Source organism: Homo sapiens, chromosome 4 (assembly GCF_000001405.40).
Source record: "Homo sapiens chromosome 4, GRCh38.p14 Primary Assembly".
Taxonomy (NCBI): domain Eukaryota; kingdom Metazoa; phylum Chordata; class Mammalia; order Primates; family Hominidae; genus Homo; species Homo sapiens.
In genome coordinates, this window is record NC_000004.12 from 141613426 (window position 1) to 141626202 (window position 12777).

At 38.4% G+C, this 12777-nt stretch overlaps 1 annotated feature.

Annotated features, from left to right (window-relative positions):
* Positions 11505-12219: an enhancer, noted in NCBI's record as "OCT4-NANOG hESC enhancer chr4:142546083-142546797 (GRCh37/hg19 assembly coordinates)". NCBI's record gives its function as "activates a minimal SCP1, AML or CMV promoter by ChIP-STARR-seq in primed H9 embryonic stem cells {active_cell/tissue: H9 hESC(primed)}" and the evidence as "EXISTENCE:reporter gene assay evidence [ECO:0000049][PMID:30033119]".

Genomic DNA, 12777 nt, shown 5'->3' on the forward strand with positions numbered 1-12777 from the left:
AATGAGACCCCATCTCTACAAAAAATCAGAACAATTAGTTGGGTGTGGTGGCACATGCCTATAATCCCCGTTACTTGGGTGGCTAAGGCAGGAGGGTCGCTTGAGCCTGGGAATTTGAGGCTGCAGTAAGCTATGATTGCACCACTGCACTCCAGCCTGTGCAACACAGGGAGACCATCTCTAAAAAAAATAAAAAATAATCTTAAAAAAGAAAGTGTTAAATATAGCTTTATAAAGTATACTGAATTATAATATGCAGATGCTATAACTACTCATTATTAAAAAAAATGACTTCTAATTCAACTAATTAGAATGTTTTATATTTCTAAATATTGGCATGGTGCAGGGAAATGGGCACTCTCATATAGTGTTATATGGAGTAGTAAATTTATTTTAAAAATTTATTGACATAAATTAAGAGCTTTGTGTTTGTTAACTACTTGAACTCTATCCTAAAAATTGCCAGATCTATGCAAAAATATGTGCATACAAAGATGATTACTATGTTGCTAATTATGTAATATTACAAATTGGAATATACATGTCCAAGTAACGAAGAATGCTTAATTAAAATATACTACACGTTCATTAAATTTGGATTTGGAAAGATGTCAAATAATGTGGAATGCTGATATCTTAAGTGGAAAGGGTATATATTATTTTTACATTATGAAAAATATAATTTTAAAATAAATTTTAAAAAGACTCTCTATATCCAGTATGATCACCACAAAGGAAAAGGCTGATGCTATACTTAACATTTATTATCTTTTAGTGATATGATTACAGTCATTCCTATGTCTGTCTTTATGTATTTCTGTATTCAATTCAAATAGTAAGGGGATTAGGGGAAGAGAGAGAGAAAAAGAGAGGTTTCTCGGACCAAAACTATATTTGACGACAATCATTGCCATTACCAAGAAACAATGTATAAATCAGGGAAGGTTGCTAGGTAACAGAAGCAGCATACCCTGGTGGTGAGCTGCCCATTCATGCACTCTCTAGGGAAAAGGGTATCTTGATAAGATAGTTATTTGGGTTATTGAGTATCAGGACATTTGATATTATAAAATCATAATGCTATTAAACATTCAAATTATATAACACAATCTTGGATGAAGCAACTAAACCATATTAAATTTGCTGAATTTAATGTGCATGACAGCCAGATGGCTGGCTTCTCCTGGTGAAAGCCTGACTTCAACATGTTCACATCAATGAAAATGTGATCAAGCAGATGATCGTAAATTAATTCTCACAAAACTTAGAATATATGTTATGTTTGTCCTCATTTTATAAATTGGAAACTGAAGATATAAAATGGACTTCTTCATGATCACAGAGAAATTAAATGGTAAACCCAGTGTTTGAACATAGATCTTTCTTTTCCCCAAAGTCCTATATTTCCTACTGTATTGTGCATTCCTTAAGGATAGACCCATATTCTTACTGCCTATCATGAGCCATGCATTCATCTCTAATCCTAAAGCTGGCACCACAAGGTAGAGATTATTTTAAAATGAACACATACACACACACACACAGTTCTTTTCAACCTATTCCAACTCTGAGACATTTATGTGTTTGACTTCTCAGAAGCTAACCATCTCTTAGCTTGTACACTATCTAAATGAGGAAACAGGAAACACCTGAAACTGCGAGAGTAAATGCAGCTGACCCTTGAACAATGTGGGCATTAGGCCCACAGATTCCCTGTGTAGTCAAAACTCTGCATATAACTTTTGACTCCTCAAATACTTAACTACTAAGTATAGAATGATCCATTTTGTAAGTCATCAAAAGCAGTCTTGAATCATTGGAACCCTTCTGCCAGATTGTCTAATGTCAATTTGATTCTGACACTGCTTCTTCTATGTCATCTTTCTCATCATCTGGCAGTGGTTTAGAAGTGAGAGGTGACAACGTGCTAGCAGCCCTCGCTGGCTCTCGGAGCCTCCTTGGCCTCAGCGTCTGCTCTGGCCGCACTCTAGGAGCCCTTCAGCCCGCTGCTGCGCTGTGGGGGCCCCTCTCTGGGTCTGGCTGAGGCCGGAGCCAGCTCCCTCTGCTTGCTGGGAGGTGTGGAGGGAGAGGTGGGGGCGGGAGGCAGGGCTGGGCACGGAGCTTGCAGGCTGAGGCAGGTTCCAGGTGGGCACAGGCTCCACAGGCCCTGCACTTGGTGCAGCTGGGGCTTGATCGGAGGCTGGGTCCCATGCGTGGGCCGCCATTCCCTCTTTGCGGGGTCGTTGGCCATGATGGCAGGTCTCCATCTCTTTCTTACTTCCCCTCTTTTTCTCTTGGTTGTCTGGGATGAGCTCCCTCTGGGCTGCAGGAGTGCCCGGGCTAGGTGCCAGCAAAGTGCCTTGGGGAGTGCCTGTGAGAGGTGAAGCCGGCTGGGCTTCTGGGTTGGGTGGGGACTTGGAGAACTTTTCTGTCTAGCTAAAGGATTGTAAATGCGCCAATCAGCACTCTGTGTCTAGCTAAAGGTTTGTAAGTGTACCAATCAGCACTCTGTCAAAACAGACCAATGAGCACTCTGTAAAATGGACCAATCAGCAATCTGTAAAACGGACCAATCAGCACTCTGTAAAATGGACCAATCAGGAGGATGTGGGTGGGGCCAGATAAGGGAATAAAAGCAGGCCACTGCAAGCCACTTAACTGGGGCAATGGCTTGGGTACTCTATGAGGCTGTAGAAGCTTTTTTCTTTTGGTCTTTGTAATAATCTTGTTGGTGTTTGCTCTTTGGATGTGCGTGGTGTTTGTGAACTGTAACAGTGACTGCAAAGGTCTGCAGCTTCACTCCTGAAGCCAGCAAGACCACGAACCCACCCACCGGGAGGAAGGAACAACTCCGGATGCACCACCTTTATGAATTGTAACAGTCAGCGTGAAGGTCTGCAGCTTCACTCCCCAGGCCAGAGAGACCGTGAACCCACCGGGAGGAATGAACAACTCCAGACACGCTGCCTTTATGAACTGTAACACTCACGGCGAAAGTCTGCAGCTCCGCTTCTGAAGTCAGTGAGACCATGAACCCACCAGAAGGAAGAAACTCCAGACACCTCCAAACATCAGAAGGACAAAACGCCGGACACACCATCTTTAAGAACTGTAACGCACCGTGGGTGTCCGCGGCTTCATTCTTGAAGTCAGCAAGACCCAAGAACCAACCAATTCCGGACACAGAAGGACTCACCTCCATCAAGTCTCTTCTGTTAATTTCTCTTGTGTGGTGTTCTCCAAGATCCATATCTTGAAACCCTTCACTCCATCTTTATTTTTCGGTGTTTTTTTTTTTTTTTTTTTTTTTTTTTTTTTTTTTTTTGGCATATCTACATATCTCTTTTGTGATTTTTTGGATTGGCTTTGTTATAAATCCCACGAAGTCATGCAACGTGATCTGAACGCAGTTTTCTCCAGCAGGAAGTTACTGTTTCAGGCCCAATGGCTTTGTTAGCTTTTCTATGGCAACGATGCAATCTTCAATGGTGTAATCTTCCCCAACTTTCGTGATGTTCTCTCTGTCAGGAATCTCTCCCGAAGCATTGACAATCCTTTTCTTAGAGCAGTGTGTGTAATGAGCCTTAAAGGTCTTTATGACCCCTGATGCAGAGGCCAAATTACATACATTGTTTTTGGGGTCAAATAGAACACATTGATACCTTCAGTGTTGAACTCATGGGGTTCTGGGTAGCCAGAGCCATTGTCAGATATCAAAAGAACCTTAAAGGCAGTTCCTTACTGCAAAGGTACTTCTTGACCTCAGGGACAAAATATCAGTGGATCCAAACCAGAAAAGGGTTTCTACTTGTCCAAGTCTTATATGAGCAAAAGATTGCCAACTGGTGGTTATCTTTTCCCTTCAAGGTTCAGGAATTAGCAGCTTTATAGATAAGAGCAATCCTGATTATAATCTCAACTACATTTACACAAAACAATAGCGTTAGCTTAATCTTCCTGCCTTAATTCCTGGTGCTTGTTTCTCTTCTTGACTAATAAATGTCCTTTGTGGCATTTTTTTTTCCAGGATAGGACACTTTTGACTGCATTAAGAACCTGTTCAAGCAGATATCCTTTCTCCTTAATGATTTTATTACTGGCTTCTGGGAAGTAGTTTGGTGCCTCTTGGTTGGCAAAAGCTGCTTCTCTTCTCGTCTTGACATTTTTTAAGCTCAGCCTCTTTCTAAAATGATCAGTCCATCCTTTGCTGGCCTTAAATTCGCCAGCTTAGAATCTTCACCTTCCTTTTGCTTTAAGTTGTGATAAAATGGCTTCACTTTTTCTTAAATCGTACTCATGTCTATAGGCGTGCCTTTCTTATAGTAATACAGCACCTACATAAAAGTTGCATTTTCAATATGAGATAAAAAAGTATTTCACAAAAAGTACAAGATTTTTGTGTCTCCTGGTGTAGTACAGTGGTCCTTATGTTGGATTCATTTATCTTAAAATGATGGGCGACTGCAGCTGCATACCTCAATCTGTGGTACAAATCAAGCAATTCAACATTTTCCTGTAATATCATGACTTCTTTCTTTTTGTGGGGAAACACTTAGAGCATCACTACTGGCACTTCCTGTGGGTCCCATCGTGTTATTCGAGTTTAAGGGAGGGCGCTAAACACTATGAAAAATCCTCAAGAACTGTTAAGAGATCATTTTTTACTTTGATTTGCAATTTACTGGATAGACAGAACTGCTGTCATGGAGATAATTAGCATCACAGGGCTTTTTGAGGGGATACTCACAGTACTTGAGCACGCTGCAACAGCAGCAGGAGGTGACTCAAATTATTATAGTATTACAATATGTAATGAAATTATTTTGTGCAGTTATGATTTAATAGTGCATTTTTATATTTGTTAACATTTTTTCTCAGCTGAGTGGCACTAATGGTCTGTGTTTTTTGCATAAGTTGTGATAACTTTTCACATTTTATAATAGATTTGTGTATATTTTAGTGGCAAATGATAAAATAGACTGGTCTTTGCATACATTTTTTGCATTCATGACATACCTAACCCTTTCTTAAGTTTTTCAATATATCTAGGCTACACAGTTTATCTACAAGGTTTCTCAAATTGTCTTCAATTTCAGTTTTTCCAGTCTATCAACTGAAAAACATTTGACCATGGATTTTTTTCCTTTGCAAATCAAAACAGCATTTTATTACCTATTGCTTTCTACGTTAATTTAAAAAGCTATCAAATAAAATCTATGTTTTAGTGCTTATTTGGGGACATTTTGTTGAAACTTCAGATGTAAACATAGATTTTTCCTCGAATATTAAAGACTGTTGAATTCAGGCTACACAATCAGATAGTTCAGCTATAAGGCTGAATGCTCTGTAGGTTTCTGGAAAAAAAAAACAAATGTACATTTTACATTACTTTGAAGTAATGTCACAAAATCATTTTAATTGACTTTTTTCCTATAGTTTTTCTATACTTATTGGTTCGGTCCTTAAGAAAATCTGTGAAAATTGGCCGGGCGCTGTGGCTCATTCCTGCAATCCCAGAACTTTGGGAGGCCAAGACAGGTGGATTGCCTGAGCTCAGGAGTTTGAGACCAGCCTAGGCAAGATGGTGAAACCCCGTCTCTACTAAAATAGAAAAAATCATCCAGGTGTGGTGGCAGGCACCTGTAATGCCAGCTATTCAAGAGGCTGAGGCACGAGAATTGCTTGAACCCGGGAGACAGAGGTTGCAGTGAGCCGAGATTGCACCACTGCACTCCAGCCTGGGCAACAAAATAAAACTCTGTCTCCAAAAAAAAAAAAAGATATGAAAATCAATGCGTGTGTGTGTTTTGTTGAAACATAAGAGGAATTAAAGAAATGGTACATTATGCTTTTTTTCACATCCATATTTATTCATCCAATAACTTGTTAACAGTTTATTCAATGTATGTATATGGCACTATGATTGGCATCAAAAATTGCTAAAAGAAAAAGTACCATGGAGTTCTCTAGCTATATGTTCTCTGGCATGTTACATAACCTGTTTGAATCCCAGTTTTGTAACATGTATATTGAAGATAATAATTTCTACCATGTAAAGTTTAGATATAGGCTTAATAATGATGCATATGAAGCCCCAGGGCCATGGAGTGGGAATTAGCATATATCAATTGTTAATAATGTATGAACCAATCCTCAGTATATTAGGGAAGATGAGGCTTTGCAGTTAATTAGTGATGGGTTCAAACATTGAATTCATTAATTTTTGTATGATCCTGGGCAAGTTCATTTCAATTCTCAGTTACTAAATTAATAAAGTAGCCACTTAGGCCAAATAGATTTCAGAATGGGCTCACATTAAAGTGTTTCACAATTTTATATTTTTTACAGTATATCATGCTGACACCAAAAAACAATATCTTATCTTAGTAGATCTATGTTAGTGAGACAAGTTTGTATGACTCATGGTACTTGCTTAAGTGGAGTAAAGTATTAGGGCCTTTAATTAATAAAGATTCCTTTTTTTCTCTAGTTTTGGACTACAGAAGAATTAGCACACATCTGGTGTGAAAATTTTCACAATCATAGAGAAAAAGCTAGCCAATTAAAATGATATTCTGATATCACTTCAAAGCAATTGTGATAGAGAATTCCTTTTGTGTAGGAAAGCCTTTCATATAGGACTATGTGCAAACCACTGTTTCCAGTTTTGTTCCACGTACAGAAATAACAACACATTATAAACTTCTTAGTAGTAGCAATTATGTCAGATATTGTCCCTTTGGAAAAGAGGAATTATATCTTATGCTACTTCTATATAGTCTGTGATATGTAGTAGATTCTGAATGCAGAGTGAATAAGTGATAGTAAAAGGATGATTTGATAATATTAGTTTTGGGTCTGTCAAAGCCTACTTCGAATCCACAAATCTTTGCCTTCCTAAACTAAGCGTAGGTATTGTAAACCAAAAGATATCTGAGATAGGTCTCAATCAATTTAGAGGTTTATTTTGCCAAGGTTAAGGATCATGACCCGTGACACAACCTCAGGAGATCCTGAGAGCATGTGCCCAAGGTGGTTGGGTTACAGCTTGATTTTATACATTTTGGGGAGGCAGAAGTCACAGGCAAAGACATAAATCAATCAATTTAAGATATACATTGGTTTGGAATAGAAAGACAGGACATCTTATAAAAGGGGGCTTCCAGATTATAGGTGGATTCAAAGATTCTTGACTGGCAACTGAGTGAAAGGGTCAAGCTCTGTCTGAAAAATTGAAGTCAGCTTTAGTTAAAGTAAGCAGGAGTTAGTGGGGGTGGTTGCGGAAGCCAAGGTTCTTGCCATGTATATGAAACCTTCAGGTAGCAGGCTTCAGAGAGAATAGAAGTCAATGTCACTTACTGGACCTTAAAAGATTTCAGATTCTCTGGAAATAGCTAGCTAGGGAAGGAGATGCTCTAAAGAATGTAAATTTCACCCACAGGAGATAGTTTTTCAGGGCCATTAAAAATTTGTCGAATAGACATATTTTGAGATAAAATACTCTGATTTCTTTCAGGGCCTGCTATCTGTCATGTGACATTTTACCAGAGTCAGGCTGAAATAAGTATCATTACTACAGACTCTGTTCTGTCAGTCTTAAGATCTCTACTGTAATGTTAATGCTGGTCAGTTGTATCTAAAATCCAAAAGGGAAATGGAATAATGAAGCATGTCCAACCCCCCTTCCCATCATGATCTGAACTAGTTTTTCAGATTTCTTTGGAATCTCCTACACTGAGAGTGGGCTCCATTCAGTCAGCTGGGGGCTTAGAATTTCATTTTTGGTTTACATTCTTCCTCTTCTGGCCAAGATTTGCCAGAGGTAACATCAATGGCCAAACTTTTATTTTGTCCCATAGCATTGCCGAGGTGGTGTGGCTGCCTGCCCCGGTCCATCCTGACCCTCAGTGGGACCCACGTGGTCAACAGACTTAGAGACAAAAGACTGATACCTAATTTAAATGTTCTAGGCCAGATGGGAATGGAAGTGGGCAGGAATTCATCAACACTTAGAATTCTTTAAACCATGTAAAACCCAAATGCAAAAGGCAAGGTTACAAATGTGGCTTATCTGTAATTTTTATGCATTGAGCTACCTTAAACTTGATTTAACTACAGACTTGTAGCAATCAGCTATACAAAACATAAGCATTTTGTTAAAGCCATTTTAGCTAAGGAAATTAGAAATTTTGGTTGTGCCACCGTGCTTTTGTGGTCTTTTTAGTAATTTGTCCTGAGGTTGCTGAAAACATTTTTTACATATATTTGCATAAATCTCATAACTGAGAGCACTACACCCAGGAAACTGTATTACCAGGTATCTGGATATCCTCTCAGTTATTTTTCTTTTAATTCAATGGGAAGCAGGAAATTCTTTATAGTTGAGATGAACAGAAAGGGCCAGGAAATGTCCCAGGAAGTAAAGTCCCTCATTTTGCCAGCTGTTTTGGTATCTGTTTGCCTGTCCTTGATTTGGGGGGCCTGAACTAATTCTCTCTCTCAGAATTGGCCCTTATGATCTCACACACCCACATTTTCCATGACTGTCCCTGGATTTAGAGGGAAGGTACTCATATAGTTTTAGCAGCAGGGTGCCAATAATGAAAACCGATAAGGCCGAATGAGATTTTAAATGGTTTTAACATTTTGGGGACATCAGGTAAAGAGAAAAAAAAAGGTAATCTTTGTTGTATTACATAATTTTGTAGGCTATATATAGAATTAGCAAAATTTTAAACAAAAAGGACATAAGACCTGCCTAAATCTGACAATGACAGGAAAAGGAAATACACAGGTAGCTAAACATTTAAATGATCTAGTATTAAGGCATAAACAAATTATATTAATTTAGATAGAGGAAAAACTTTTAAATGAGTATTTATGTCTTTGCACACAGTTCTGGTCCAATGTCATGTGGAAGCAAACTATTTTGACTGCCATCTTTTCCCAGGTTTGAAGATGAGGCTTTTGTAAACTTGAATTTGGTGCCAGATACCAGCGTTGATGTTTAGGATTCAGTAAGAGTCAGTGCCCCCTTTTAGAGAAGATAGGGGTACCCAGGAATTAAATCCCTGAACTTAGTAGTACAAAGGTTAGTTAACAATATTTGATAAAAGATCATTTTTAATGGAGCTGGAGGGAGTCTCAACTGATAGCTAATCATCAGGCTGGAGGTGGTAATACTGGAGTTAATGACTTAATTGGAAGCAGTAGGAAGATTTTATAACTTTGAGGTGATTAATTTTTATAGTTTTGATAAGTCTCCAACAATAAATCTAAATCAGAGACTTAATTTAGGATTTTATTTTGAGCATGTTTGTTAAAGATGTTTAAAGATCCAAAACAAATTTATTAAAACAGCTCATTGTAGAATAATAGCTATTCATTTAACTAAATGGATACTTGAAATACTTCAAAAGAGATAAAGGAAGTTTACGTGGATATAAAACTTTAATCCTTTTAAAATTTAGCTTTTTAAGTAATTTTTAACCTAATGAAAGCAATACAGAAATTAATTTGATAAAATGTGAAATATTTATTTCTTAGGCTAGTTACAAACAAACAAAAAACAAATGAACAAAAAACCTGCTGCAGTGATTGTTTTTCCTTATGGGAAGCCCATTTGGATAACCTGAAAGTCAAACCTGCTGAAAAGTAGGTAGGTTTGTACTTTAGTCTCTATTTTTTAACTGGACCCCTGAGCTCAGGGCAGAGCCACAGAGAATTCCGGGTCACCCAAAAAAGAGAAAATGCCATAAGACCCGGCCATGTTATGTTCTTACAGTGCAATTTGTTATGAAGACATTTCTCTAAGTGTTTAAACTGCACCCTTTTTAAATTTTAAACATGCAAAGGGTACCTCCTGTAATAAGAACTATTTAAGCAATTGCCATTAGCTGCCTCTAAAAGTACATTTCTTACCTAGCTATTACACACACCAAGGTTAAACATTTTTTCATAATGCAAAGTAATTCCCAGTACCCTCAAAAGTAAAAAATATGTAATGCAGTACAAAAAGAGAGAAGAGGTTTTTTTTTGTTTTGTTTTTTGTTTTTTTGCTTTTTCTATGACCTCAGTGGAAATCTGCTTGCTTATAACTCTTGGTATCCTGTGAGGAAAAACAGATTTCTGGTAAGTAGAGGAGTGTAGCTGCCCACTGCTCCCGCCGCCTCCTTTCCTCCCCACCTACCCCCCACCCCCAAGGGATCCCAAGCTGTCAGAAATTCCTTTCTTCTTTCTAGGTCCCTCATGGGGTAAAGGTGGCAAGAGGAAGGAGAGACAGGGAGAAGTAAAAGGAAGAAATGGAACTTAGTTGACTGAGAAAAAAAAAGATCCAAGGAGAGAAAAAAAGCATAAAGAAAAAAAGCATACACACACACACACACACACACACACACACACACACACACTGGATATTTGCTATTAATTAAGCTGACCTTTAACCCTAGAGCTCTTTAAAAAAATTCTTTTAAATCTGTTACTATCATATATTAGCTGGGACAAACAGCTGATACTTCAAAAGTAGCACAAATATCAAACCAGCAAGGACTTGATGTTAGAACCAAACCTAGGCTGTTAGGGTGAAAAGGGCAAATCTTAGCTGTTGAACTACAACATGAGGTGGCTGCCATTGCTCTTTCAGTTTAGGCTTGGCTAGCAAAAAGTGGCCTTGTTGGGTACATGAAGCCCCCCATGTAGTCAAATTTTTTAATTTTTCTTTTTGATGTACTTTTTTTTCCCCCTTCCCCCTGCCTTTGTTTTGCAGCTGTGGGAATTTCAACCAATTTAGAGGCCTTGTTCCCCATAATTTGAGACTTTCCTTCAGATTTGACCAAACCTGATAGAGTTGGTCAAACCCAATGAAAGGAGGGCCGAAACAACAAAAGGCAACAATAAAAACAGGTACAGGCAAATAACAAATTTAAAGAAAATAAGCAAATGATCACACAATGTATACAATTACTGAACACTCTAAAAGTGAGGAAAAATTAAGACTCACTGATTGTCAACCTAAACCTTTAGTCATTAAGCAGAAATTTCAAGCCCAAGTCCCAACTCAGCAACTTATCTAGGAATGGGACACAGGCTGAAGACTGCTCTCTACAATCTTAGAAGCAGGAAAAAGACTCAAACTTGCCTTCCTTGGTGGAAGCAAGTGGAAACTCCAGAAAAAAAAGTTAAACTGCTCGTCTTTGTCACGGAAGCAAGGAAATTTGCCTTCCTTATTGGAAGAGAGCAAAACTCCAGAAAAGGAGGGTTGTTTGTTTGTTTGTTTGTTTTTCTGTACAGCAAAATGAACCTTAGATTTCACTCCAAATTTGAGAGATTCTCTGGAGTGGGGAAGCTCTTTCACCTCAGCAGATTGTCCTCATGGTTTGAGCAATAAAGAGCCCAAGCTGGTAACAAGCACTGAGAGAAGATTTGTGAAAAGTCAGGGCACCTCCACCCTGGGTCCCTTCCATTGATCACCAATTTGTAAACCAAAAGGTATCTGAGACAGGTCTCAAGTTAGAGATTTATTTTGCCAAAGTTAAGGATCGTGACCTGTGACGCAGTCTCAGAAGGTGCTGAGAACATGTGCGCAAGGTGGATCAGTTACAGCTTGATTTCATTCATTTTAGGGAGTCTCCCAACTTGAATAGATGACTCTCTCAACCTAGGGGATTTCAAAGAAATCTGAAAAACTAGTTTAGACCATGATGGGAAAGGGGATTGGACATGCCTCATTATACCCGCTTCCTTTTGGAGTCTAGATAAAAGTGACCAATCATTAACATTACAATAGAGATCCTAAGATTGTTTCCATGACAATGGAGAGCAGTTTAACTCCTTTCTGGAGTTATCACTTACTTCCGTTGAGGAAGGCAAATTTGAGTTTTTTTCTTGCATCTAAGATTGTAGAGAGCAGTCTTCAGCCTGTGCCCCATTCCTAGACAAGTTGCTGAGTTGGGGGTTTGGCTACTCCAACCTGACTCTGGTATAATGTCAAATGACAGATAATGGGCCCTGAAGGAAATAAAAGTATTTTATCCCAAAATATACTTACTCGACATATTTTTTAATAGCCCTGAAAAGCTATCTTTGGTGGGGGAATTTACATTTTTTAGAGAATCTTCTTACTTAAGGAGTTCTTTCCAAAGAGTCTGATACCTTTTAATGTCCAGTAAAAGACATGCACATCTATCTCTCTGACACCTGCTACTTGGAATCTTCATCTACCTGACAAGAATCTTGGCCTCCATAATCCCCTACTTATCTTAATTCAAGCTGACTTCATTTCTTTATGGAAAGCTTGAGTTTTCCAATGAATTGCCAACCAAGAAATCTTTAAATCCACCTATGACCTGGAAGCTCCCTGCTTCAAAATGTCTCATCTTTCCAGGCCAAACCTATGTATACCTCAGATTTACTGATTTATGTCTTCGCCTGTAACTTCTGTCTCCCTAAAATGTATAAAATCAAGCTGTAACCATACTGCTTTGCCCACATGTTCAGGACTTCCTGAGGTTTTATCACAGGTCATCATCCTTAACCCTGGCAAAATAAACTTCTAAATCAATTAAGACAGACCTCAGATACATTGTGGTTTACAATATAAATGTAAACAAGCATATATTTTAAAAAGAAGACCTTTCTATGTGTGGTGAGATGTGCAAATAAAATACCAAGGCTTTCAACACAACGTATATACCTCATAGTTCATTATTTTTGTATGAATGAAAGGATGTTCAAATACCATGCATGACTATTTCCAACACCTTTGCAATTTTCACTGTT